At 54.5% G+C, this 27,124-nt stretch overlaps 2 protein-coding genes and 1 long non-coding RNA gene across 8 annotated transcripts in view, besides 4 other annotated features; 1 reads left to right on the forward strand and 2 right to left on the reverse strand.

The window, feature by feature from the left end:
- On the forward strand, window positions 1-25,979 carry ATP2A1 (ATPase sarcoplasmic/endoplasmic reticulum Ca2+ transporting 1). 3 transcript variants are annotated; one of them, NM_004320.6, is made up of 23 exons: window positions 1-302; window positions 612-629; window positions 1,014-1,096; window positions 2,428-2,532; window positions 3,964-4,102; window positions 6,088-6,168; window positions 8,702-8,787; window positions 8,938-9,235; window positions 10,300-10,466; window positions 15,668-15,756; window positions 16,018-16,120; window positions 16,335-16,466; window positions 19,513-19,638; window positions 19,746-19,964; window positions 22,094-22,429; window positions 23,376-23,596; window positions 23,697-23,899; window positions 24,093-24,178; window positions 24,291-24,424; window positions 24,543-24,660; window positions 24,836-24,953; window positions 25,213-25,254; window positions 25,693-25,979. In NM_004320.6, the coding sequence occupies exons 1-22, from the start codon at window positions 185-187 to the stop codon at window positions 25,215-25,217; spliced, it is 2,985 nt and encodes a 994-aa protein (NP_004311.1). In that variant the 5' UTR covers window positions 1-184; the 3' UTR covers window positions 25,218-25,254; window positions 25,693-25,979. The 3 variants fall into 3 exon arrangements, with proteins under 3 accessions (NP_004311.1, NP_775293.1, NP_001273004.1); NM_173201.5 differs by lacking the exon at window positions 25,213-25,254; NM_001286075.2 differs by lacking the exons at window positions 1-302; window positions 612-629; window positions 1,014-1,096 and adding an exon at window positions 1,556-1,607.
- Window positions 387-1,160: an enhancer, noted in NCBI's record as "H3K27ac-H3K4me1 hESC enhancer chr16:28890195-28890968 (GRCh37/hg19 assembly coordinates)". NCBI's record gives its function as "activates a minimal SCP1, AML or CMV promoter by ChIP-STARR-seq in naive H9 embryonic stem cells {active_cell/tissue: H9 hESC(naive)}" and the evidence as "EXISTENCE:reporter gene assay evidence [ECO:0000049][PMID:30033119]".
- Window positions 470-1,434, reverse strand: ATP2A1-AS1 (ATP2A1 antisense RNA 1). Of its 4 annotated transcripts, none has more exons than NR_046290.1 (2): window positions 1,055-1,434; window positions 470-617 (listed from the first exon to the last, which is right to left on the reverse strand). It is a non-coding gene; the product is annotated as an ATP2A1 antisense RNA 1 (long non-coding RNA). The 4 variants fall into 4 exon arrangements; NR_046289.1 differs by having other exon boundaries at window positions 470-620; NR_046288.1 differs by having other exon boundaries at window positions 1,002-1,434.
- Window positions 1,231-1,280: a silencer, noted in NCBI's record as "silent region_7315". NCBI's record gives its function as "represses an Ori minimal core promoter by ATAC-STARR-seq in GM12878 lymphoblastoid cells {active_cell/tissue: GM12878}" and the evidence as "EXISTENCE:reporter gene assay evidence [ECO:0000049][PMID:35858748]".
- Window positions 1,301-1,650: a silencer, noted in NCBI's record as "silent region_7316". NCBI's record gives its function as "represses an Ori minimal core promoter by ATAC-STARR-seq in GM12878 lymphoblastoid cells {active_cell/tissue: GM12878}" and the evidence as "EXISTENCE:reporter gene assay evidence [ECO:0000049][PMID:35858748]".
- Window positions 4,684-5,493: an enhancer, noted in NCBI's record as "H3K27ac-H3K4me1 hESC enhancer chr16:28894492-28895301 (GRCh37/hg19 assembly coordinates)". NCBI's record gives its function as "activates a minimal SCP1, AML or CMV promoter by ChIP-STARR-seq in naive H9 embryonic stem cells {active_cell/tissue: H9 hESC(naive)}" and the evidence as "EXISTENCE:reporter gene assay evidence [ECO:0000049][PMID:30033119]".
- The window catches only part of RABEP2 (rabaptin, RAB GTPase binding effector protein 2), a 20,818-nt gene continuing 19,627 nt past the window's right edge, over window positions 25,934-27,124 (reverse strand). The window contains exons 12-13 of the mRNA NM_024816.3: window positions 26,910-27,026; window positions 25,934-26,557 (exon numbers count right to left, since the gene is read on the reverse strand). Coding sequence (NP_079092.2) covers window positions 26,456-26,557; window positions 26,910-27,026 — 219 coding nt within the window. The 3' untranslated portion in view covers window positions 25,934-26,455. The remainder of the gene's footprint in view (window positions 26,558-26,909; window positions 27,027-27,124) is intronic.

A 27,124-nucleotide genomic window follows, 5' to 3' on the forward strand; every position in this document is an offset into this window, starting at 1 on the left:
GGCCGGCTGCTCAAGTGGGACGGGGGTCAGAGCTTTGTGGAGGGAAGAAAAACCTGGAGGGGGCAGGAGAGTAAAAAGAAGAAACCCAGGCAGACAGGCAGTTGGACACACTGAGGAAGACCCCCCACGAGTGGGAACCCCCTGGAAGGAACACACCGGCCCCGGCCCCCAGGAAGGGAGCACAATGGAGGCCGCTCATGCTAAAACCACGGAGGAATGTTTGGCCTATTTTGGGGTGAGTGAGACCACGGGCCTCACCCCGGACCAAGTTAAGCGGAATCTGGAGAAATACGGCCTCAATGGTAAGTGTCCCTTGGAAGAGCGGCTGGTAATTAATGCCCTCCTGCACCCCCAAAACACACGCACACGCATGCACGCGTTTCTCCCTTCAGGGTTTCTTAAGGAAGAGCTGGGCCGTTGTCCAATGCTCGCAGGGGGAAGAAGATACTGAGAAAACAGAGTCCCGAGATCCAGAGTTTTGGGAGGTTTTAATGGGATGAACTTGATGAACCTCAAGGTGGCCTGATTCTCTTAGCCACAAAGTCTTGGGTGTGGGGGGCATGAGGCTGAACCCCAAATGAATCTGTCCTTTTCTTCTTTTTCCTGGGTAGAGCTCCCTGCTGAGGAAGGTAAGTTACTGGAATCCCTGAACTCTCATAAATGACCACCCCCCACCCCGCCCTGTCCCACTCCCTCCTCCCTGCCTCTTTAGATTCTTTGAGCAAATATCCCTTCCCAAAAGGCAAATCTCCCTCCCTAAAGGTTAGAGTCCTGTCCGGGGCAGAAGTCTCCCAGGCGCTTTCTCCTTGAAGCAGCCAACCCTTGAACTGCCCCCCACTTTGCCGAGTCTGTTTCTGGACTCCAGGCGAGCTTCTTAGCCCTTCTCTGGGCACCAAGCTGTCTGCCCACCACCCTAGAGCCTCCCCACTGCAGGCCGGAGTCCAGGGCGCTCCATCCCAGACCTTCACCCACTAGACCTTAACCCGGGGCCCTCCCCTTGCCTCCTCCCCCAGGGAAGACCCTGTGGGAGCTGGTGATAGAGCAGTTTGAAGACCTCCTGGTGCGGATTCTCCTCCTGGCCGCATGCATTTCCTTCGTAAGTGTGGGAGGGTCTCTGGGGGCTGGCTGGGGGTGTGAGGCTGGGATCGGGCGAATGCGGGGCTCGCAGTCACTGGATCCTCCCGTCCGAGTCCCGAGCATCCCATTGTACAGACGGGGCGGGCTGGCGCGCAGCAGCGGGTGTGATTCGCGTCCTCCTCTCTCCTCCCCTGCACCCCAGAGGCAGGTTTTATTTTAAGCTTTAAGGGTGTTCTCAGCCAAAACACCGAAGCTAAGCCACCCTCGCGGCTTCAAGAGCTTGGAGAGCTCGGGTTACCCACCCGAACTCCGGGCTCCGGGTCCCGCCGCGATGCCGGCTGCGGCGCGGGGGGCCACTGCCACTCCCGGCATGCGCCGGGCGGACGGCCGCTCCACCAATCCCCGCGCCCGTCGGCGCCCCTGCCCCGCCCTCCCCAGCCTCCTGACGCTGATTGGTCGAGGGGAGGACTCGCTCCTAGTGGCGGGAAAGCGCGGCGGTGTGATGATGACTCCAAGGAGCCCGGCGCCCGGTCAGGGAGGGCACTGGCATCCCTCATTACCCGCCCAGCCTGGCCTTAGCCCTTCCCCGCGCTCCCTAGGCACCCCCACCCCCGCAGGGCATCTCCAGGGCTCTGCCTCCTCTCCCGCCCTGGGGGCTACTCCCCATCCCGCGGTCCATCTGCATGTCGCGGGTTCTTCCGCAGCATGTGAGCCTCGCTGGGGACTCTGGAGGCAACGAAAGCCTCCCTGTGCCTTGGTCTCCGAACGCAGGCCCCGTCGCGTTAAGCACAAGCTGGCAGGGCCTCTCCTCTCCCTTCTCAGATTTGCTCCTTGACATTTGCCTGCTGCCTGGCGGTGGCAACAGCTGGGGCGGGGCGCGCGCAGGAGGCCCCGTAACCCTATCCCCGCTCCGGCTCCCTCGTGAAACCGGAGCTTCCCTGCCTTGGCCGAGGGGGAGGGCTGCGGGGGCCAGACCGCCTGCGAAGACCACAGGGTTTTTCCTCTCGGGTTTTGGCTCCCGTGGGATGGATGTGGCTGTGCGGGGGGTTGGCCTGAGCTTCGCTTCTAAGCCAGCAGCTTGGTCAGGGAAACCTGAAAGCATTCCCAGCTAATCCCCCAAGTGGTGCAAGTCTGTGCGCGCCCATCCCGCTGAGTAAGGCGGTGGCAGGACCTGCAGTGGATGGACAGACCCTCAGACGGATGTGGGGCCACAGCGCCCCGACGGTGCCCGGCCCTCCTGCTGGCTCCTGCACTCTCCTGCACAGTTCTCCCCTTTGCAGTGGTCCACTTCCTTTCTCCATCTGTTTTGGGGCCTCATTACCTGTCATTCTCCTTTCCCCTGCTCCCCAGGTGCTGGCCTGGTTTGAGGAAGGTGAAGAGACCATCACTGCCTTTGTTGAACCCTTTGTCATCCTCTTGATCCTCATTGCCAATGCCATCGTGGGGGTTTGGCAGGTTAGCGTTGACCCTTCCTTACCCCTTCATGTCCCAACAGTGAAGAAGAGGCCAACCCTCCCTCCAGTCTCCTCCTCCTCCATCACCTCCCCCATACTTGCCTCTTCCTCTGGTCCTATCCCCTGGTCTGGAATGGGATGGAGTGTGGGGAAGAGGTGGGAGACTGTGACCCACTGTCACTTCCTGGCTATGTGACCCTGAGCAAGTTCCTTCATCCCTCTGAGCCTCAGTTTCTTCATCCATAAAATGGGGCTAGCAATCCAGTGTGAAATCGACTAAGATGATGCATGTTCCTGGCACACAGTAGGAATTCAATAGACGCTAGCTTGATTTCCTTCTTCCACTGACCTGACCACCCCCTACATGTCCTGTCCTCTGCTTCCTGGTTTGTTTTGTTTTGTTTTGTTTTTAGGTCATTTCCAAAGTGAAAACCCAAATGCTACCTTGCTTTGGTTTTAAGAAATGTCAGGCTATAAGCCATTTTTTGGTGCTCACTGGTTTCTGAACACTGAGGATAGAAATAGCCACTTTCATACTTTGGGAGGCCGAGGCGGGTGGATCAGTTGAGGTCAGGAGTTCAAGAGTAGCCTGGCCAACATGGTAAAACCCCATCTCTACTAAAAATACAAAAAAATTAGCTGGGCATGGTGGCAGGTGCCTGTAATCCCAGCTACTCAGGAGGCTGAGGCAGGAGAATCACTTGAATGGGGAGGCGGAGGTTGCAGTGAGCCAAGATTGCACAATTGCACTCCAGCATGGGCAACAGAGTGAGACCCAGTCTCAAAAAAAAAAAAAAGAGAGAAATAGCACTTTCTCTTTGCCCCAGTGTTACAGGCGCAGCAGAGCCACCTGTGTCTGTGGTGCTGACAGGTCCAGGACAGCATCTGCAGGGCAGCCTCTGATTTTCTTTGATTTTTTATTTAGATTTTTCTTTTTGAGACAGGGTCTCGTTCTCTTGCCCAGGCTGGAGTGCAGTGGCGTAATCTCATCTCACTGCAATCTCTGCCTCCAGGTTCTGGTGATTCTCGTGCCTCAGCCTCCCAAGTAGCTGGGATTACAGGCGCGTGCTACTACGCCCGGCTTTTTTTTTTTTTTTTTTTTTTTTTTGTACTTTTCGTAGAGACGGACGGGGTTTCACCATGTTGTCCAGGCTGGTCTCGAACTCCTGACTTCAAGTGATCCGCCTGCCTCAGCCTCCCAGAGTGCTGGGATTACAGGCGTGAGTCACCATGCCCGGCCTGATTTTCTTTGATTCTTCTTTGTTCCCTCCCCAAAACCCTCTCACCTGTTTTCACCTGTAGGTGACAGTTTCCTCAACATACACACACCCCTGCCTGTGTGGGGTTTTGTTGCCTCCCCCGTGCCAGGAGCCACAACTCCATAACTCTGCCTCCTGTGTATAACCCTGCCTCCTCCACCCTGTCTCCTCAGGAGCGGAACGCAGAGAACGCCATCGAGGCCCTGAAGGAGTATGAGCCAGAGATGGGGAAGGTCTACCGGGCTGACCGCAAGTCAGTGCAAAGGATCAAGGCTCGGGACATCGTCCCTGGGGACATCGTGGAGGTGGCTGGTGAGTGACAGGGACGGCTGGTCCAGGATGGGAGGCCTTGGGGCTGAGGCCTAGGAGATGCCGGGGGCTGGTCAGGCTCGGATCCAGGTGTCCAGGAGGATGACGGAGTCTGCTTCTCTTTCCGACTCCTCAGAAGGTCATCCCAGGCCACTCCGGCCACATCCCCCCCTCCCCAGCGGAGTCTCAGCAGGAACAGCCAGTCCTGTCCCTGAGGCTGCAGGCAGACCCCCTGCTCCCCATCCTCTCACCCTGCACTTGCACTCGCAGGCAACAGGTGGAACCCGGTCCCTGCCAATGGCCCCGTCTCCACCCCCTCCCGGGCCTGGCTTCCCCCTCCTTCCACCCACCCCAAGCTTGGTCAGCTTTCAGTCTTGACCTCTCTGTGCCCTTGAGGCCTCTCAAAGGGGAAGGAGCGAGGGCAGAAGGGAGGAGGGAGGCCGAAGGCTCGAGCCCCCGACCATGTAAGGGAAACTCAGGCCTGGCACAGAGCACGCGACCGGGGAGGAGGGAGCTCAAGGAGGGCCCCGCCCGCGGCAAGGGACACTTAATGCCTGGCCAGGGAGGGGTGGGGGCCGGGTGGCTAAGATTACTGGGATTCTGCCCCCTTCAGCGGTTTTTATGTTTGCCCTGAGCAGGCCTTCCCGAAGCTCCAGGCCCCTGCCAGGGGGAATGGCTCTTCAGAGGCCTCCTTCCCTGTAGCAGACATCCGAATCACCACCCCAGGGAGCTTGGGCAGAGGGAGTGAGGGCAGGCTGAAGACCCCAGCGCCCCATCACAGGGCAGCCTTGCCGCCGTGACAGCATGGAGTCAGCGCCATGAATGTCTATAAATATCACGCGGGCTTGGGTGACAGGGTGTCCCGCCCGACTCTATCCCGACCTCCCTCCTCCCTCCTCGGTCCATTTCCTCTGGCACAGGAGGGATCCTTAGAAACAGAGGGAAAGGAAAGCGATTGGACCCTGTCCCCAGTACCATCCGTGGGACCAGTGCGGAATTAGGCAGCGGCCCTGGGAGATTCTTAGCCTCCTCCTAAGGTCTCTGAGTCTGGCTGGGCATCCACCTCTCCAGCCCCCCGACAAGGTGGTTTCCATGGCCTGCCAGCCCACCTGTGCGTCTCCCTGGCCTCACCTCCACCCATTCACTCTCCAGCCTGTGCTGCCCGCCCCACTCTTCCACACCTGTTTCCTGCCCAACCCCCGCTTCTCTCCTGTCCCATCCCATCCTGTCTTGTCCATGTCCCCAGCTCACTCTCCCTGGCTCCCCGCCTCCCTGCCTCCCTGAGATGCTCAGACCGGGCTGTCAGGTTCCCGATATGTGGTCCTCTCCATGACCACCCTGTGCCCCCCGCTGCCTTGAGTCCTGCCCACTCATACCTTCCGCTCACTCCTCTCCTGCCTTGCCCTCCACTGTTCCTCTTGGTTGCCCTCGATTTTCTCAATTTCCATATTTTCCCGTTTCTCCTTGCCTTCCCTGGCTGTCCACTTCATTCTCTCACCCCGACACCCCTTCTCTCTAATGCACCCTGTTTTCCCTGAGTTCTTTCCTTGCCTTTCCTCCTTGCCTTTCTCACTCCTGTCTCCCAATCTCAATTATAGCTTCTTGTCCTACAGCTGGACTGTCCCTAATTTCCCCTCCAGTCATTCAGTGGGCATTTATTGAGCATGTACTATGTGCTGAGCAGTACACCTGCCCATCCCTTCTCAGGGCTCACAGCCAGTGGGAAGAGATGTGGGAGTTCAAGACCAGCCTGAGCAACAGAGCGAGACTCCATCTCGCCGTGGACACGGGGGCAGAAGGGATGGGTGTCACGATGAGGGGTTGCCAGCTTCAGGAGCTCAAGCCAAGGGCCTGATGCAAGCCCTGGGAGCCTCCCTGAGACCTGAAGGATGGATGAGGAGAACGAGTCAGACACAGATTGGGTTTTTCTTTGGAAGGAAGAAAATTCCATTCCCAAGTGACCTCCCTCTTCCCTACTCTCTCCACAGTGGGGGACAAAGTCCCTGCAGACATCCGAATCCTCGCCATCAAATCCACCACGCTGCGGGTTGACCAGTCCATCCTGACAGGTCTGCTGGCCTGGGTGGGAAGATGCATGGGGGTGGGACGTGGGGAGGAAGAGGCAACAAGGGGGAGGTGAGTGGAAAGACAGAGAACCCTCACTGTCTGAGCAACATAAAGAGACCCTGTCTCTACAAAAAAATTTTAAAAACTAGCTGAGCATGTTGTTGAGTGCCTGTAGTCCTGACTACTCAGGATGCTGAGGCAGGAGGATCGCCTGGGTACAGGAGGTCAAGGCAGCAGTGAGCTGTGATCACACCACTGCACTCCATCCTGGGCCACCCTGTCTCTGTCAAAATAAAAACAAAAGGCTGTGCGAGGTGGCTCATGCCTGTAATCCCAGCACTTTGGGAGGCCGAGGTGGGTGGATCACCTGAGGTCAGGAGTTAGAGACCAGCCTGGCCAACATGGTGAAACCCCATCTCTACCAAAAAATACAAAAAACACAAAAATTAGCCAGGCGTGGTGGCAGGCACCTGTAGTCCCAGCTACTCAGGAGGCTGATACAGTAGAACTGCATGAACCCAGGAGGCTGAGGCTGCAGTGAGCCAAGATCATGTCACTGCACTCCAGCATGGGCAACAAGAGCAAGACCCCATCTCAAAAAAAAAAAAAAAAGACAAAACAAAACAAAACCCAGCACTGGGGCCTCCCCCTGGCTCGCTAGTAGTGGCTGTGGCAGTGGCAGCACTGCTTGACATTTTCTTTTTTTTTTGAGATGGAGTCTTGCTCTGTCACCCAGGCTGGAATGCAGTGGCGCGATTTCAGCTCACTGCAACCTCTGCCTCCTGGCTTCAAGCAATTCCCTGCTTCAGCCTCCAGAGTAGCTGGGATTACAGACGTCCACCATCACACCCGGCTAATTTTTGTATTTTTAGTAGAGACAGGGTTTTACCGTCTTGGCCAGGCTGGTCTTGAACTCCTGACCTCGTGATCCACCCACCTCAGCCTCCCAAAGTGCTGGGATTACAGGTGTGAGCCACCCACTGCACCTGACCTGCTTGACGTTTCCATTCTGTCCCAAGCCTGAAACGGGACGGGTAGTGGGAGAAGGCTGGATGTTGTTGCCTACTCTCTAGATAGCCACCAGCCCACCCCTTCCACATGGACATAGGGCCACAGACACCTCGAGAACTGTCCTGTCTCCTTCAGCCTCCTCAAAAATCCTCCAGGGAGGAGCCATGAGATTCTAGGACAAGATAGGGGGTTCAGATACACTGAAAACCATGGCTGCTAGGCTGGGCGTGGTGGCTCATACCTGTAATCCCAGTGCTTTGGGAGGCTGAGGCAGGAGAATTACTTGAGGTCAGGAGTTTCAGACCAGCCTCGGCAACACAGCGAGACCCCATCTCTATAAAAAAAAAATTTTTTTAACTAGCTGGGTGTGGTGGTGTGCACCTGTAGTCCCAGCTACTTGGGAGGCTGAGGTGGGAGGATTGCCTAAGCCCAGAAGCTTGAGGCCACAGTGAGCTATGATTACCACGGCAGTCCAGCATGGACAACAGAGCAAGACCCCATCTCTATAAAATTTTTTTAAAAATTAGCTGGGCATTGTACTGCACACCTGTAGTCCCAGTTGTTTGGGAGGCTGAGGTGGGAGGATCACTTGAACCCAAGAGTTTGAGGCTGCAATGAGCTATGATCACACCACTGCGTTCCAGCCTGGGCAACAGAGCAAGACCCTGTCTCTGTAAAACCACCATAGCTGCTTCTGTTTCCGCACTGGCAGGGAGAAGCGAAGAAGAGGCAGAAAACATTCCCCATGGTCCCAGGGGGCAAGGGCTAGGCTGGCCCAGGCTTGCTGCTGAGCCCCTGCTCTTAGGGTGAGGGAGGCATGGTCGTAAGTGTAGGTCCCCCTTCCTCCCAGAAACATGCTTGACAGTTAAAAGTGTGGCTCCAAATATGTCCACTTATTTGATTTTCACCCAAGACATTGTTTTGCAGTGTACATGTCCTTGTCCCCATTTTACAGAGGAGCACATGGAAGTTAGGTGATCAAACACAGCTTGTTAGTGGTCAAGCTGGGGCTTGGGTCGAGGTCTTTTTAAGAGCCGTGGACTTCTGGCTGGGCACGGTGGCCTGTAATCCCAGCACTTTGGGAGGCTGAGGTGGGCGGATCACTTGAGGTCAGGAGTTCGAGACCAGCCTGGCCAACATGGTGAGACCCCGTCTCTACTAAAAATACAAAAAAAAAAAAAAAATTAGCCAGGTGTGACAGCATGTGCCTGTAATCCCAGCTACTTGGGAGGCTGAGGCAGGAGTATTGCCTGAACCCGGGAGGTTGCAGTGAGCTGAGATCTTGACACTGCACTCTAGCCTGGGTGACAAGACTGCAACTCTGTCTCAAAAAAAAAAAAAAAAAAAGGAGCAATGGACTTCCTAGCTGCCTTCAGTGGCTTCTTCCAGAGTCCAGACATCCCCCAGGATGGCTACTTGGTCCTTACCAGGAGCTGTCCTGCTGAGCAGGGAGAGAGTTAGGCACGGGAAGCCTGGGAGAAGGACATGATGTCATCCGAAAACCCCTTGGCCCCTTCTCCACAGGCGAGTCTGTATCTGTCATCAAACACACGGAGCCCGTTCCTGACCCCCGAGCTGTCAACCAGGACAAGAAGAACATGCTTTTCTCGGTGAGCAATCCGGGACCAGCCATCACACACTCAGTCAAGCCAGGTGCCCGGGTTGGAGAGAAACATGGCGTGTGAGAAGAGATGGCGTGGGGAGATGCGGCATGAGGGTCACCTCTTGCCTGATTCCCTGCCTCCTCTTTCCCTTCCCAGGGCACCAACATTGCAGCCGGCAAGGCCTTGGGCATCGTGGCCACCACTGGTGTGGGCACCGAGATTGGGAAGATCCGAGACCAAATGGCTGCCACAGAACAGGACAAGACCCCCTTGCAGCAGAAGCTGGATGAGTTTGGGGAGCAGCTCTCCAAGGTCATCTCCCTCATCTGTGTGGCTGTCTGGCTTATCAACATTGGCCACTTCAACGACCCCGTCCATGGGGGCTCCTGGTTCCGCGGGGCCATCTACTACTTTAAGATTGCCGTGGCCTTGGCTGTGGCTGCCATCCCCGAAGGTATGAAAGCCTTTCTTTTCTCCTCCCATTTGCTAATCCCATCTGCAAAGACCCCTTTTCTTTTCTTTTCTTTTCTTTTTTTCTTTTTTGTTTTTTGAGATGGAGTCTTGCTCTGTCACCCAGGCTGGAGTGCAGTGGCGTGATCTCGGCTCACTGCAAGCTCCGCCTCGCGGGTTCACGCCATTCTCCTGCCTCAGCCTCCCTAGCAGCTGGGACTACAGGTGCACGCCGCCATGCCTGGCTAATTTTTTTATATTTTTAGTAGATACGGGGTTTCACCGTGTTAGCCAGGATGGTCTCGATCTCCTGACCTCCTGATCTGCCCGCCTTGGCCTCCCAAAGTGCTGGGATTACAGGCGTGAGCCACCGCACCCGGCCTTGCTCAGTGCAACCTCTGCCTCCTGGGTTCAAGTGATTCTTCTGCCTCTGCCTCCCAAGTAGCTGGGATTACAGGTGCACGCCACCATGCCTGGCTAATTTTTGTGTTTTCAGTAGAGATGGGGTTTCACCATGTTGGCCAGGCTGGTCTCGAACTCCTGGGCTCAAGCAATCCACCCGCCTCGGCCTCCCAAAGTGCTGGGGTTACAGGTGTGAGCCACCACGCCTGGCCCAAAGACCCCTTTTCCAAGTAAGGTAACATTTACAGGCTCCAGGGATTAGGATCTGGTATCTTTGCGGACCATTATTGTTTGTTTGTTTAATAGAGACAGAGTCTCACTCTTGTTGCCCAGGCTGGAGTGTGGTAGCACAATCATAACTCACTGTAATCTCGAACTCCTGGATTCAAACAATCCTCTTGTCCCAGCCTCCTGGGTAACTGGTACCACAGGCAATCACCACCACACCCAGCTAATTTTTAAATATTTTCAGAGGAGTCTCACTGTGTTTTCCAGGCTGGTCTCAAACTCCTGGCCTCAAGTGATCCTCCCGCCTCAGCCTCCCAAAGTGCTAGGATTATAGGTGTGCACCAACGTGCCCAGCTGGGGGCTACTATTTAGCCCCTTGCAGGTTCCCTCACACCCTCCCCTTGCAGGTTCCCTCACACCCTCCCTCCCTCCCCACAGGTCTTCCTGCAGTCATCACCACCTGCCTGGCCCTGGGTACCCGTCGGATGGCAAAGAAGAATGCCATTGTAAGAAGCTTGCCCTCCGTAGAGACCCTGGGCTGCACCTCTGTCATCTGTTCCGACAAGACAGGCACCCTCACCACCAACCAGATGTCTGTCTGCAAGGTCAGGAGCAGTGTGGGCAGCGCGCTCAGTCAGAAGGCTGCCTGTGGGGGTTAAATGGGCCCTCCAAAGATAGAGGTCTCCCTTCATCACTGCTGGCTTCTCATCTGGGCCTGCAAAATGCTCAAAGGGCAGTAGAACGCCATCCTGTCTGCCATGAACGGGATCAGAGAGGACCCTTGTGCCCCAGCCAGACAGCTCACTCTGACCACCATCCACGCACCAGGCACTGCCACACATCGTCTCTCATCCCTCACAATAGCCCATTCAGAGGATGGTCTCATTATCTTCATTTTTTTAATTAAAAAAAATTATTATTATTTTGAGACAGAGTCTCACTCTGTCGCCCAGGCTGGAGTGCAGTGGTGTGATCTTGGCTCACTGCAACCTCTGCCTCCCGGGTTCAAGCGATTCATCTGCCTCAGCCTCCCTAGTAGCTGGGACTACAGGTGCCTGCCACCACGCCTGGCTAATTTTTTTGCATTTGTAATAGAGACAGGGTTCGCCATGTTGGCCAGGCTGGTCTTGAACTCCTGGCCTCAAGTGATGTGCCCCTGTTCGCTTCCCAAAGTGCTGGGATGATAGGTGTGAGCCACGGCACCCAGCCTAACTTCCTTTTTTAGAGGAGGAAAAAGCCTCTGAGAGATTAAATGACTTCCCCCAAGATGCACAGTTAATAAATAACAGAGTTGAGCTTCAAACCCGAGTCTGTGTGGCCCCAGAGCTTCTGCCTGTGAAGTAGATGGCTCTCCAGAATGGTCACTCATGACAGGGCCCGGCCAGACTGCCAACACTGACCGTGAACAGCATTTCCTAAAGCAGGGCTCTTAATCTTTTCTGTGCCTCACACCCCTTTGCAGTTGAGCTCTTGTCAGGATAATATTTCAAATGTATATTAATAAAATAAAACAGGCCAGGTGCAATGGCTAACGCCTGTAATCCCAACACTTTGGGAGGCCAAGATAGGCAGATCACGAGGTCAGGAGTTCGAGATGAGCCTGGCCAACATGGTGAAACCCCATCTCTACTAAAAATACAAAAATTAGCCGGGCATGGTGGTGCGTGCCAGTAATCCCAGCTACTGGGGAGGCTGAGGCAGGAAAATTGCTTCAACCCGGGAGGCAGAGGTTGCAGTGAGCCGAGATCGCGCCACTGCACTCCAGTGTGGGCGACGGAGTAAGACTGTCTTAAATAATAAAATGAAATGAAATGAAATAAAATAAAATAAGCCAGGGGTGGTGGCTCACGTCTGTAATCTCTTCAGGAGGCCAAGGTGGAAGGATCACTTGAGCCCAGGAATTCGAGACCAGCCTAAGCAACATAGTGAGAGTCCGTCTCTACCAAAAAAAAAAAAAAAAAAAAAAAATTAGCCTGATGTGGTGGTGCACACTTGTAGTCCCAGCTACTCAGGTGGCTGAGGCAGGAGAATCACTTGAACCCAGAGATTGCTTGAGCCAGGAAGTCAAAGCTACAGTGAGCTGTGATCACACCACTGCACTCCAGCCTGCATGACAGAGCGAGACCCTGTCTCACGCACAAAAAAATAAAATAAAATAGGGCTAGGTACGGTGGCTCACGCCTGTAATCCTAGCACTTTGGGAGGCTGAGGCGGAAGGATCACTTGAGCCCAGGAGTTTTAGACTAGCCTGGGCAACACAGTGAGACCCCACCTTTTAAAAGATAAAATAGAAAGTAAAAAATAAATAAACAAAACAGGATTCTGGGTTTTTTTGTTTGTTTTTTTTTGTTTTTTGAGATGGAGTCTCACTCTGTTACCCAGGCTGGAGTGCAGTGGCCCAGTCTCGGCTCACTACAACCTTCACCTCCCAGGTTCAAGTGATTCTCCTTCCTCAGCCTCCTGAGTAGCTGGGACTACAGGCACGCACCATCACACCCAGCTAATTTTTGTATTTTTAGTACAGATGGGGTTTCGCCATGTTGACCAGGCTGGTCTCTTAACTCCTGACCTCAAGTGATCTGCCCACCTCGGCCTCCCAAAGTACTGGGATTACAGGAGTGAGCCACTGCGCCCGGCCAGGATTCTGTTTTAAAAATACATAGGAAGCTGGGCACGGTGGCTCATGCCTGTAATCTCAGCACTTTGGGAGACCGAGGTGGGTGGATCACCTGAGGTCAGGATTTCGAGAATAGCTTGTCCAACATGGAGAAACCCCGTCTCTACTAAAAATACAAAAATTAGTTGGGCGTGTTGGCAGATGCCTGTAGTCCTAGCTACTAAGGAGGCTGAGGCAGGAGAATCACTTGAACCCAGGAGGTGGAGGTTGCAGTGAGCTGAGATTGCGCCATTGCACCCCAGCCTAGGCGACAAAAGCAAAACTCCATCTCGAAAAAAAATATAAAAGACCTGACGCAGTGGCTCACGACTGTAATCCCAGCACTTTGGGAGGCCGAGGTGAGCAGATCACCTGAGGTCAGGAGTTCGAGACCAGCCTGACCAACATGGAGAAACCCTGTCTCTACTAAAATACAAAATTAGCTGGGCGTGGTGGCACATGCCTGTAGTCCCAGCTACTTGGGAGGCTGAGGCAGGAGAATTGCTTGAACCTGGAAGGCAGAGGCGGTGAGCTGAGATCGTGCCATTGCACTCCAGCCTGGGCGACAGAGCGAGACTCCGTCTCAAAAAAAAAAAAAAAAAAGTAGCCAGATGCGGTGGCTCACACCTGTAATCCTAGCACTTTGGGAGGCCAAGGCGGACGGATTACCTGAGGTCAGCTTGGCCAACATGGTGAAAACCAGTCTCTACTAAAAATACAAAAAATTAGCCAGGCGTTGTGGTGGGCACCTGTAATCCCAGCTACTTGGGAGGCTGAGGCAGGAGAATCGCTTGAACCCAGGAGGCGGAGGTTGCGGTGAGATTGCACCACTGCACTCCAGCCTGGGCGACAGAGTGAGACTTTGTCTCAAAAAATAATAATAATAAAATAAAACAAAAATAAAAAAGTAAAAAAAAAATACATAGGAAAGATACATAGGGTTACAGAGGAAACCAATGATTGTGAAATACAGTTCTATCAAAATTTTTAAAAACAACTTTGTAATTTGGCAACACACATGCTTCTTTATTAAGGCATTAATTAGGGAGTTCTCGCAGTGGGTCTAAGCACTATCATAATGTTGAAGCAGTGGTGAGCATAAATTATGCTATTTTGAGAGATCTGCAACAGTGGTAATGTGATAGGAGGAAAGTATCTGTGATTAAATTGGTGACAGTCACAGGTTTTGCTAATACTAATGTGGTCTGTTGACAACATGCATAACTGGAAGGAAATGTCAAACGTCAGCTTGAGAACAAGAAAAGCTGTCGTTTTTTTCTTGGCTATCTCAGTTCTTGGGCTCCTTGCAGGGTCTTCCACTGACCTCAGGCCAAGAACCCCTGCCCTTCACAGAGTTTTGTGGAAGACTACACCCATGAACTAGAAATTGCTGTTCTGAGAAGCAAGGGCTGTGTGGTCAGATCAGGGTGAGAAAGGCTGTAACCTTGGCTCCTGGGCGAGACCCACAACATCTGCTGCTATTTGAAAGCCTTAGAGGAGGCTGACTGTGTAAAGAAGACGGATTCTGCTTTGCCCCAGAGGTTCCCAAGTTTTTTTTCTGACCACAGAACTTTTTTGTCTTGGAACCCATCTTAACCATCTCTCTTCTCGGGAATGAAAAGCCCAGTCTCTGTTGCGTTTGCCCAGGATTCAGGGTAGGCCACTCCTCCTGGGCACTGCGTTCTCCACATCCCTCTAACGCACAGGCCACAAAGCCAGACCACAGGCTCGTGTGACTTGGCTCCTGTCATGTTTCATAAAAATGAATTAATTCTCACGCCTGTAATCCCAGCACTTTGGGAGGCCAAGGTGAGTGGATCACCTGAGGTCAGGAGTTCGGGACCAGCCTGGCCAACATGGCGAAATTCCGTCTCTACTAAAAATACAAAATTAGCTGGGCGTGGTGGCGTATGCCTGTACTCCCAGCTACTCTGGAGGCTGAGGCAGGAGAATCACTTGAACCCAGGAGGCGGAGGTTGCAGTTAGCCGAGATTGCACCAGCCTGGGCAACAAGAGTGAAACTGCATCTCCAAAAAAAAAAAAAAGAATTGCCCATATATTTGAAAGTCAAGAGGCTGGGCATGGTAGTTGCCTGTACTCCCAGCATCATGGTGGGTGCCTGTACTCCCAGCACTTTGGGAGGCCAAGGCAGGAAGATCACTTGAGCCCAGGAGTTCAAAACCAGCCTGGGCAACATAGTGAGACCCAATTTCTACCAAAAAAAAAAAAAAAGAGAGAGAGAGAGAGCAAGAGAGACAGGCATGGTGGCATGTGCCTGTGGCCCCAACTACTTGGGTAGGCTGAGGTGGGAGGATCACTTGAGCCCGGGAGGTTGAGGCTGCAATGAGCTATGATCACACCACTGTACTCCAGCCTGGGCAACAGAGCAAGAACCTATCTTAAAAAACAAAAAGAAAAAGAAAAAGTCAAGAGATTTCATAGGAAGATAACCTGAATTTCTAGCTCTTCCTGCAAAACTGGAAGATCTGGCCACATGCAGCTGGAGCTGTAGATGGTCCAGGTGCCAATAGTTGGGCTGTTTGCCACAGTCCCCACCATACCTTATTGTGTTCCATCTTATTTTATTAACTGGTCTACAGAAGCTCCAGCACAGCACAGCCTGCGGTCACTCGTTTGTGGGTTTTTTTTTGTTTTTTTTTTTTTTTTTGAGTTTGGCTCTTGTCGCCCAGGCTGGAGTGTAATGGCACGATCCTGGCTCACTGAAACCTCTGCCTCCCAGGTTCAAGCGATTCTCCTGCCTCAGCCTCCAGAGTAGCTGGGATTACAGGCGCGCACCACCACACCTGGCTAATTTTTGTATTTTTAGTAGAGACGGTTTCATCATGTTGGCCAGGATGGTCTTGCACTCCTGACAGGTGATCCGCCCACCTCAGCCTCCTAAAGTGCTGGGATTACAGGTGTGAGCCACCTCGCCCAGCCTCAGTAACTATTGTTTTAAGGCTGTTGATAGAGAATGATTGCAACAGCTTGGTGGGAAGTGGGTAGGGTATACGGGGGGGATGAGGAGGGGTGAGTAGGAGGGAAATGGTGGGAAGGTAGGTGTTGGCAGTGCAGGCCTCCCTTGATGCAGGTGCCCACCTTGGGATGGGAAGAGGTGGACATCTGTGTGCCTGCCCTTCTCCCCTGCAGATGTTTATCATTGACAAGGTGGATGGGGACATCTGCCTCCTGAATGAGTTCTCCATCACCGGCTCCACTTACGCTCCAGAGGGAGAGGTGTAAGTCACCCAGGCATCTTCTCCCCAGCTCCTCACGCCCCTTCCCACACCCCCTTTCTCCCTGGGGCCCTCCATGTGGTTTTGCTCTCCTTTCACTCTCCTCTTCCTCCCCGACCTTGTTCTCTCTCCTGATATCCGAGTTGGCTCTCCCCACTGTCCTTCCTTACCCTCTGCTGCCTGCTCTTCCTGTGCCCTCTCTGCATCTCATTCCCTGTTCTTCTCCACTGTCTCTGTCCCTTCCTCCCCTGACCCTGCTGCCAGCTTGAAGAATGATAAGCCAGTCCGGCCAGGGCAGTATGACGGGCTGGTGGAGCTGGCCACCATCTGTGCCCTCTGCAATGACTCCTCCTTGGACTTCAACGAGGTAACCTCTCCTTCCCCTTCCAGTTGGCTCAGAGTCTGGGCCTCCTCCGAAGGCCAGGAGGAAAGGGTTGGAGGAAGGGGACCCAGTACACCCAGCCCTCTGCCAGGGTGCAAGGGAGGCAGTGGTTTGCTTCCTTCTTACGCTAGGTGGAAGGAGGGTATGACAGGTAGGAGCCTGGGGCACCGACTTCCTCTTCCTCCTCTGCCCATCTCAGGCCAAAGGTGTCTATGAGAAGGTCGGCGAGGCCACCGAGACAGCACTCACCACCCTGGTGGAGAAGATGAATGTGTTCAACACGGATGTGAGAAGCCTCTCGAAGGTGGAGAGAGCCAACGCCTGCAACTCGGTGAGCCTGCGGAGCCCCTGCCACAGGGCCGTCTCCACTCTATGCTGCATAGACTAGAGGAAGGCAGAGGCCCTGGTTGGGCAGAGCCTAGTGCCTGTGCTGGGACCCCACCCAGGCAGCAGACAGCCCCTGCAGCTTCTCCACAGGCTGATGTGGGTGGGACCCATTGTCCCTGGGGCTGCCTGGCGGCCATGCCCTTGATGAATCTATGATCACTTCTGCCCGCTGTGTCCTGATTTGAAGTGGACAAAGCTGGACACGGAAACCACAAGGGACCCATCCAGGAGCAGCCCCAACTTCATCTGTTATTCCTTTGTTTCTAGAAGCACACTTGTTTTCAGCAGATGATGAGTCCTGACTTAGGATTTGGGAAATGTGGCTACTGCACCTATAGGGAAAGCCTTTCCTTGCCCAGATGAACCCGGCCACTTCTAGGACTGTCACTCCCAGTTATTGCTATTGATACTTGCTGAACGTCTCCATTAAGCACTTCTCTCTGGGGAATTATATTCCCCACATTTCTCTCTTTCTCTCTTTTTTTGTATATGCAAAATGCTCATTGCTACTTTATTTAATATAACAAAAAAGCGGGCCAGACACAGAGACTCACGCCTATAGTCCCAGCATTCTGGGAGGCTGAGGTGGGAGGATCACTTGAGCCCAGGAGTTTAAGACCGGCCTGGGCAACATAGTGAGACCCGCATCTCTACAAAAAAAAACGAAAACAAAAACAAAGAAAGAAAGAAAAAAAAAAGAAAAAAATTAGTTGGGTGTGGTGGTGCAAAACTGTACTCTAGCTACTAGGAAGGCTAAGGTGTGAGGACTGCTGGAGCCCAGGAGGTCAAGGCTGCAGCAAGCAGTGATTGCACCACTGCACTCCAGCCTGGGCAACAGAGGGAGACCCTGTCTCCAAAATAAACAAACTGAAAGCAACTTAAATACCTGTCAATAGAGGACTAATTTTTAAAATTTATAAATGATAATGCAAACATAAATTTTTATTTATTTATTTTTGAGATGGGGTCTTGGCCTGTCGCCCAGGCTGGAGTGCAATGGCTATTCATAGGTGTGATCACAGCGCACTGCAGCCTTGAACTCCTGGGCTCAAACCATCCTCCTGCCTCAGCCTTCCAAGTAGATGAAGCTACAGGCATGCACCACTTTTCCTGGCTACTGATGTTTTGTTCTTTTTATTTTTGTTTTATTTTTTGGAGAAGTATCCATGATACATTTGGTGAAAAAGGCTTTCATTCTTTTTGTTTGTTTGTTTGTTTGTTTGTTTGTCTGTCTGTTTTGAGAGTCTTGCGGTGTCACACATTCTGGAGTACAGTGGCATGATCTCAGCTCACCACAACCTCCGCCTCCTGGGTTCAAGCAATTCTCCTGCCTCAGCCTCCCTAGTAGCTGGGATTACAGATGCAAGCCACAATGCCCAGCTAACTTTCTGTATTTTTAGTAGAGACGAGTTTTTTTTTTTGAGACGGAGTCTCTCTGCTTTGCCCAGGCTGAAGTGCAGTGGGGCCATCTCGGCTCACTGCAACCTCCGCCTCCTGGGTTCAAGCAATTCTCTTGCCTCGGCCTCCTGAATAGCTGAGATTACAGGCATGTGCCACAACGCCCAACTAATTTTTGTATTTTTAGTAGAGATGGGGTTTCCCCATGTTGGTCAGGCTGGTCTTGAACTCTTGACCTCGTGATCTGCCTGCCTCGGCCTCCCAAAGTGCTGGGATTACAGGCGTGAGCCACTGCGCCTGGCCTTCATTTTTTTTTTTTTTTTTTTTGAGACAGAGTTTTGCTCTTGTTGCCCAGGCTGGAGTGCAATGGTGTGATCCTGGGTTCAAGTGATTGTCCTGCCTCAGCCTCCCGAGTAGCTAGAATTACAGGCACGTGCCACCACGCCTGGCTGATTTTGTATTTTTAGTAGAGACGGGGTTTCTCCATGTTGGTTAAGCTGGTCTACTACTAAAAAATACAAAAATTAGCTGGACATGGTGGCGTGTGCCTGTAATCCCAGCTACTTGGGGGGCTGAGGCAGGAGAATGGCTTGAACCTGGGAGGCAGAGGTGGTAGTGAGCCAAGACTGCACCACTGCCCTCCAGCCTAAGCAACAGAGCAAGACTCCATCTCAATATAAATAAATAAAAATTAATTCAAATTAAATAATATACAGAGTACCTCCAATGCTCCACAGCAATTGCTCAGTTGCACCAATTGTACAGTGCAGATCACATAACATTTCTATCATTACTAAAAGTTATAGGGCCAGGTGTGGTGGTTCATGCCTGTAATCCCAATGCTTTAGGAGGCCAAGGCAAGAGGATTGCTTGAGGCCACGAGTGAGACCAGGCTGGACAACACAGGGAGACTCTATCTCTAAAACATTTTTTTAAAATTAGCCTGGAGTGGTGGCATACACCTGTGGTCCCAGCTACTCAGCTGGCTGGGAGGCTGAGGCAGGAGGATTGCCAGAGCCAAGGCTACAGTGGGCTATGATCACGTCATTGTACTTCAGCCTAGGAGACAGCGCAAGACTCTGTCTCTAAAGAAAAAAATAAGTAAATAAAAATAAATAAACAAACAATGAAAGTTTTTTTTTCTTTTTTCTGAGACGGAGTCTCGCTTTGTCGCCCAGGCTGGAGTACAATGGTGCGATCTTGGCTCACTGCAATCTCTGCCCAGCTAATTTTTGTATTTTTAGTAGAGACAGGGTTTCACCATGTTGGCCAGGCTGGTCTCGAACTCCTGACCTCAAGTGATTCACCCGCCTCAGCCTCCTGAAGTGCTGGGATTACAGGCATGAGCCACCGCGCCTGGCCAATAATGAAAGTTCTGTGGGACAGTGCCACAATAGGCCATCCTTTTCTTCTGTGCTTTAACCTAGGACCCTGAAGCACTGTGGCAACACTAGCCTTGGGATTTTCTCCTTTTGTGCTATAGGGACCAGACTTAGTGTTAGTCTCAGCCTTAGCTTGGGGTCTGCTCTGACCTCCAGATTCTTTTTGACCATTTTAAGAGGACTGGTCTCCCCTCCCTGTCTCCTCTCCAGGTGATCCGCCAGCTAATGAAGAAGGAATTCACCCTGGAGTTCTCCCGAGACAGAAAGTCCATGTCTGTCTATTGCTCCCCAGCCAAATCTTCCCGGGCTGCTGTGGGCAACAAGATGTTTGTCAAGGTCAGAAATCGGAATGTGCCTCAGCCCCCTCTTCTTCCTACTCCTAGCCACCTGTCACTGCCCTGGAAGGAAAGTGGTGGTCTCTGAATGCTGTTCTGGTCTCCTAGGGTGCCCCTGAGGGCGTCATCGACCGCTGTAACTATGTGCGAGTTGGCACCACCCGGGTGCCACTGACGGGGCCGGTGAAGGAAAAGATCATGGCGGTGATCAAGGAGTGGGGCACTGGCCGGGACACCCTGCGCTGCTTGGCCCTGGCCACCCGGGACACCCCCCCGAAGCGAGAGGAAATGGTCCTGGATGACTCTGCCAGGTTCCTGGAGTATGAGGTAAGCAGCTGGGAGCCTCCCACTGTCGTGGAGCTGGTGAAGGGCCGGGTCCCAGCCATCCACTCACAGCTCCACCACCCGGATCATTTCCTACCTCGTCAGTCAAGTTGATGGCTCCTTAGTACAGGCCATGGAATCACAGGACAGTAGAGTTTCAGAGAACCTTGGGAGGCCGGGTGCAGTGACTCACACCTGTAATCTCAGCACTTTGGGAAGCTGAGATGGGAAAAGCGCTTGAGCCCAGGAGTTCAAGACCAGCCTGGGCAATGAAGTGAGAACCCCATCTCTATTAAAAAAAAAATTTTTTTAATTACCTGGTTAAATTCATAGGGGTCTGGGTAAAAAGTAAAATACATTTTTAAAAATGTTAAAAGAAAAGAGATGAACTGGACATGGTGACACACACCTGTAGACCCAGCTACTGGGGAGCCTGAGGTGGGAGGATCACTTGAACCTAGGAGTTGGAGGCTGCAGTGAGCCATGATCCCACCACTGCACTCCAGCCTGCATGACAAGCAAGGCCCTGTCTCTAAAAACAAAAAACAAAAACACACACACACACACACAAAAGAGAGAAAGAATGAACCTTGGGAATCATCTAGCAAATGTGATCTGTGGTTGGTAACAAGGTGAGCCACTTGAACCAGAACAGGAGCCAATGCCACTCAGCACATAGGGGAGTTCAGCTGTTGTGTTTTCTGTAGCAAGACTGTCTCGAGACAGTTGATCTGTGTTCTGGCAAAGACTCCTTACTTCTACTAGACCAGCGCCAGAATGGCACCACAGTCCCTCCTTTCATTTTGTACAGAGGATTTCTTCTAAGTTGTGGGTCACGTAGTGGCACTGCCAAAAGCAGAAAGCAGTACCTCACTTCCAGTTCACGTTCTTTCTATGAAACACACATTTTGGCTGGGCATGGTGGCTCCCATCTGTAATCCCAGCATTTTGGGAGGCCAAGGCAGGCAGATCACAAGGTCAGGAGTTTGAGACCAGCCTGGCCAATATGGTGAAACTCCATCTCTACTAAAAATACAAAAATTAGCTGGGCTTGGTGGTGGGCACCTGTAATCCCAGCTACTCTGGAGGCTGAGGCAGGAGAATCGCTTGAACCTGGGAGGCGGAGGTTGCAGTGAGCAGAGATCGTGCCACTGCACTCCAGCCTGGGCAACAGAGCGAGACTCCATCCCCTGCGCCCGCCCCCCCCCCCCCGAAAAAGACACAATTTGGGGCCACGTGTCAGGGCTCACACCTATAATGCCAGCACTTTGGGAGGCCAAGCCTGGCAGATCACTTGAGGTTAGGAGTTTGAGACCAACCTGGCCAACATGGTAAAACCAAGTCTCTACTAAAATAAAAAAATTAGCCAGGCGTGGTGGTGCGCCCTTATAATCCCAGCTACTCAGGAGGCTGAGGCGGAGAATCGCTTCAACTTGGGAGGTGGAGGTTGCAGTGAGCTGAGATCATGCCATTGCCACTGCACTCCAGCGTGGGTGACAGAGCAAGAGTCCATCTCAAAAAACAAAACAAAAACAAAAACAAAAAAAAGGAAAGACACGATTTGGGCTGGGCGTGGTAGCTTATGCCTGTAATCGCAGCACATTGGGAGGCCGAGGCTGGAGGATCTGTTGAGCCCAGGAGTTTGAGACCAGCCTGGGCAACATAGCAAGATCCTTTCTCTACTAAAAATTAAAAAAAAAAAATTAGCTGGACATGTTGGTGCATGCCTGTAGTCCCAGCTACTTGGGAGGGTGAGGTAGGAGGATCGCTTGAGCCTGGTAGATTGAGGCTGCAGTGAGCTATGATCGCACCGTTGTACCACTGCACTCCAGCCTGGGTGACAGAGCAATACCCTGTCTCAAAAAAAAAAAGATACGATCTGACCCATGATGGGCCTGGCACCATCAGCACCTGCAGGTGCTTAGATGAATGAGATGTTTCCTGCCTCTGAGCTTCCAAGGCCCCACTGAGGTCTGACACCAGGCCCTGAGGCGGCAAGCCCAGGGTTCAGGCTTCCCACCCCTCCCCACCACTTCCTGACCTTTCACCCCATCCCCACCCCCCACCAGCTTCCTCCAGGGGAGTTTTCCAGATCCCCACCTGACCTGTGGCTCTCTGCTGTATCTCCCCAGACGGACCTGACATTCGTGGGTGTAGTGGGCATGCTGGACCCTCCGCGCAAGGAGGTCACGGGCTCCATCCAGCTGTGCCGTGACGCCGGGATCCGGGTGATCATGATCACTGGGGACAACAAGGGCACAGCCATTGCCATCTGCCGGCGAATTGGCATCTTTGGGGAGAACGAGGAGGTGGCCGATCGCGCCTACACGGGCCGAGAGTTCGACGACCTGCCCCTGGCTGAACAGCGGGAAGCCTGCCGACGTGCCTGCTGCTTCGCCCGTGTGGAGCCCTCGCACAAGTCCAAGATTGTGGAGTACCTGCAGTCCTACGATGAGATCACAGCCATGGTGAGAGGGCCCAGGCAGCTGCAGCCTTAGTGTCCACGGAGATGACCAGATGACTGTGCTGGGGAGAGTGGGGCCCAGGGCCAGAGGGCCCTGGTAAGATGCAAGAAGGGTGGGGATTCAGACCCCAAGGAAGAGTCTGAAGGAGGATTTGTGGGCTGGGCCTGGCACTTTGGGAGGCTGAGGTGGGCGGATCACTTGAGCAGGAGTTCGAGACCAGCCTGGGCAACATAGCAAGACCTCATCTCTACTAAAACAAAACTTTAAAAATAAATTTAGCCTCACAGTGGCACATATTTGTGGTCCTAGCTACTTGGGAGCCTGAGGTGGATCACTTGAGCACAGTTTGAGGGTGCAGAAAGTTATGACTGCACCACTGCACTTCAGCCTGGGCAATAGAGTGAGACCCTGTCTCAAAAAAAAAAAAAAAAAAAAAAGGTGGGCGGAGGGGCTCATGCCTGTAATCCCAGAACTTAAGGAGACTGAGGCAGGCAGATCACCTGAGGTCAAGAGTTTGAGACCAGCCTGGACAACATGGCAAGACCCCATCTCTACCAAAAAATACAAAAATTGGCCGTGCGTGGTGGCACATGCCTGTAGTCCCAGTTACTCAGGAGGCTGAGACAGAAGAACTGCTTGAACCTGGGAGGCGGAGGTTGCAGTGAGCTGAGATTGCGCCACTGCATTCCAGCCTGGGCGACAGAGTGAGACTCCGTCTCAAAAAAAAAAGTGTGCCGATCTTTGTTCTAAACTGAGTTTTTGGCCAAGTGTGGTGGCACATGCCTGTAATCCCAACACTTTGGGAGGCTGAGGCAGGAGGATTGCTTGAGCCCAGGAGTTCAAGACCAGCCTGGGCAACAGAGTGAGACCTCATCCCTAAAATAAAACCTTTTTTAAAAAGGAGGGATGTGTGAAGGTGCCCTAAGCCCACCTTCTCCTCCTCCCTCAGACAGGTGATGGCGTCAATGACGCCCCTGCCCTGAAGAAGGCTGAGATTGGCATTGCCATGGGATCTGGCACTGCCGTGGCCAAGACTGCCTCTGAGATGGTGCTGGCTGACGACAACTTCTCCACCATCGTAGCTGCTGTGGAGGAGGGCCGCGCCATCTACAACAACATGAAGCAGTTCATCCGCTACCTCATTTCCTCCAACGTGGGCGAGGTGGTCTGGTGAGCAGCTGGGTGGGCGTCCAGGAGGAAGCCGGGGTTAGGGTGGGGTGGCTGCAGGTCTGGGAGGCAGGACAGAGGTGTGACCACCTCCTTCCCACAGTATCTTCCTGACCGCTGCCCTGGGGCTGCCTGAGGCCCTGATCCCGGTGCAGCTGCTATGGGTGAACTTGGTGACCGACGGGCTCCCAGCCACAGCCCTGGGCTTCAACCCACCAGACCTGGACATCATGGACCGCCCCCCCCGGAGCCCCAAGGAGCCCCTCATCAGTGGCTGGCTCTTCTTCCGCTACATGGCAATCGGGGGTGAGCTGGAGGGGTTCCTCGATCCTCCCCACCCCTTGGGACTAACCCCCTCTCTGGGACACCAGCTCCCCCATGCAGGTGCTGAGAGGGTCTTCTTCCTTGGCCAGCCTGTCCATGGCCACATGAGGCCCTCAACCCTCGATGCCCCCTATCTCCCCAGCCCTGACCCCCGACTCCCCTCTCTCCACCACAGGCTATGTGGGTGCAGCCACCGTGGGAGCAGCTGCCTGGTGGTTCCTGTACGCTGAGGATGGGCCTCATGTCAACTACAGCCAGCTGGTAGGGGGAGGCCACAAAGGAGGGGACCAGGAGGGTGTGGGGATGCAGGAGGGTACCAGGAGGGTGGCATGGAGGTGGCCCTGGACCTCAGTCTCCCGTACCTTCCCTGCAGACTCACTTCATGCAGTGCACCGAGGACAACACCCACTTTGAGGGCATAGACTGTGAGGTCTTCGAGGCCCCCGAGCCCATGACCATGGCCCTGTCCGTGCTGGTGACCATCGAGATGTGCAATGCACTGAACAGGTGGGGGCCCCCCAGCTACACCCACCACCCTCCCCTGAGGCCACTGCCCACATCCTCCACTGTGCCGCCCACCTCCTTCCTCCTCACTGTGCCTTCTCCCTCCCCTTCCCCTCTGCAGCCTGTCCGAGAACCAGTCCCTGCTGCGGATGCCACCCTGGGTGAACATCTGGCTGCTGGGCTCCATCTGCCTCTCCATGTCCCTGCACTTCCTCATCCTCTATGTTGACCCCCTGCCGGTGAGGTTTCTTCCGCCCAGGGCCGCCCACCCCAGCACTGGGGAGCCCACGGCGGGCCCATGACCACTCCCACCAGGGGCGCCGATGTGGGAGGCTGGTGGGAGTGGGCTGGGCAGTGCTGGTCTCTGGCTCCCTCCCCACCCCCTCCTGAGAGGGCGCTTGTCCCCTGCCCCAGATGATCTTCAAGCTCCGGGCCCTGGACCTCACCCAGTGGCTCATGGTCCTCAAGATCTCACTGCCAGTCATTGGGCTCGACGAAATCCTCAAGTTCGTTGCTCGGAACTACCTAGAGGGTAAGGAGTGCCCTCTCTGTCCCAAGCCCTGGCCCCACCACAGCCCCTTCCCCATGACGCCGCCCCCGCCCCGCCCCGTACTTTGCAGGTGGTAAGTTTCTCAGCCCTGGCAGGACCTGTGTCCGCCCCGTTCCCCCTGCGCCTGCAGGGGCCACATCTCCGGGGCAGCCCCACTGCCTCCTCAGCCCCCACAGCCCCTATAGCCCCCATGCCACCTCCCTGCCTTGATAACAGTGCCTCTTGTCCTCTCTGGCCATAGGATAACTGTTCCCCCTCCTCCATCTCTGAGCCCGTGTCACAGGTATCACCCCCTTCTTGCCCTCAGCCCAGCTGCTGTGCCCCTGCCACCCGCGCCCCCTCAGCCCCTTGCGCGTCGCATCCAAGGTCACTTGTGCTCGCAGCTCCACCTGGAGCCGTTGCCACTGCTGCTGCTGCGCTTCCAGTCAGGGTGGGCCGCTGGCCTCCCACTGGGCGTCAGTTTGGCTCCCAGGCCCTGGGCAGTGCCAGCCTCTGGGCCCGTCTGCTGCGCTGCGTTGCGCTGGCTGTGTGCTGGGCTGTCTTTGCTGTGGGGCTGCAGTGGGGGGGGGCGGGGTGTCTGGGGACGCAGGTGAGTAGGGGAGAAACTGGCAGGGTGGTAAGCTTCTGAGCCTCCAGGTAAGTGCGTGCCTGGGAGATGCACCTGGGAGGGACCTCGCTGCCCTCCTGCCGCCTGCCTCATCCCTTCTCTTTCCCCTTCCAGATCCAGAAGATGAAAGAAGGAAGTGAGCATCCTTTTGCTCTGTCCTCCCCACCCCGATAGTGACACATCTTCAGGCAGAGCTGTGGCACAGACCCCCGTCCTGTCCCCCACACCCGTGTCATGTGTCTGTTTATAAACATGTCCCCTTCCCTTTCCTTCCCCCTCGGCCACCCGCCTCCCTCTCAACCTTGTAAATTCCCCTTCCCAACCCCGAGGGGCTTGCAGGGACAAGGCGACCGACTGCGCTGAGCTGCTTATTTATTGAAAATAAACGACGGAAAAGTCTGGCCTTGCCTCTGTGCAAGCTTGGAGGCCTGGGTCGCCGCTGTGGACAAGCGTCTTAGTGTCATGCAGACCAGAAGGCAGCTGCCTGTCCCAGGGCCGGGGCCCACCTCACTGCCTCTGATGGGGACTCCCAGCCCCCATGGCTCCGCTGTGCCCTGGGCAGGGGACGGGCTGGGGGCAGGGGAGGGCTGGAGCCCAGGAGGCAGCACAGCAGCCAGAAAGCCGCAGGCCTGAGCCTGCACCTTTGGTTCCGGGAGGGGCTTGGGCCCCTCACCCAGGTGTGATCCCTGAGAACAGGAGGCCCAGCCACCCTGGGAGGAGGCGCTGGAGGGCGGGGCGGTGGTGGCCCCCGTCAGTCCCCTCAACCCCAGTCTCAGGGACGGTGGAAAAGCCATCCAAGACCCCAGAGCGAGGCCTCATGGTTCAGGAGTGGGGAAAGGCGTCTTTCCCAGGGTGGGGGTGGGGATATCCTGACCCCTCAGGTGTCCTTGATGTCCCTGACGTCCGTGAGTGGCGCCTCATCCATGATGCTGCGCACTTGCTCCAGGGTCTCAGCCTGGCGGATCCGCTCTAGGCGCACCTGCCGGATCGGACGAGGGGAGCAGAGTGCACTTGTGGGGAAACGCAGCCCCTACCCCACCTGCCAGCCCCCAAGGGCGGGGCCTGGTACCAGTGGACCCAGGGGCCACCTCTAGGGGGCTGATGCCACAAATGCCCTGAGCGTCCACCATGCCCTGTACTGAGGGCTTCAGGTGACTGACCAAGGCTCACATGAGAGTTTCAGGGTTTTTTGAGTAACAGCTCAGGACAGGACCATGCCAGCCCCAGGAGGAAGAAAGGACTCCCCTAACCAGGGAACTGTCCTTGCAAGACCCAGGAGAGGTCACCCGGAGTGGAGCCAGCCAGCCTGGCGGGGCTGGGACAGGCCATACCTGCAGGGCCTGGGACAGTCGCACGAAATCCCTCTGCACCTGCTCACTGGTCTCCAGCTCTGCCTGCAGCCGCAGCACCTTGGCCCTCTGTTCTGAGAGGAGGTCTGGGAGCTGGGCCTGCGGGGACAGACACCACACTGAGCTGGGCCTGGCTCAGCCTGGACCAGATGGGAGGGTGCATGGCCAGCCGTTGCCCCAGGGCTTCCTCCACCTGG

Source organism: Homo sapiens, chromosome 16 (assembly GCF_000001405.40).
Source record: "Homo sapiens chromosome 16, GRCh38.p14 Primary Assembly".
NCBI classification, from domain to species: Eukaryota; Metazoa; Chordata; class Mammalia; order Primates; family Hominidae; genus Homo; species Homo sapiens.

Coding starts and splice junctions, on each gene's coding strand:
- ATP2A1 (NM_173201.5), top strand. CDS start 185: ATGGAGGCCGCTCATGCTAAAACCACGGAGGAATGTTTGGCCTATTTT. Junction 24,179..24,290: donor ATGTCAACTACAGCCAGCTG/GTAGGGGGAGGC, acceptor CCTTCCCTGCAG/ACTCACTTCATGCAGTGCAC. Junction 24,425..24,542: donor ATGTGCAATGCACTGAACAG/GTGGGGGCCCCC, acceptor TCCCCTCTGCAG/CCTGTCCGAGAACCAGTCCC.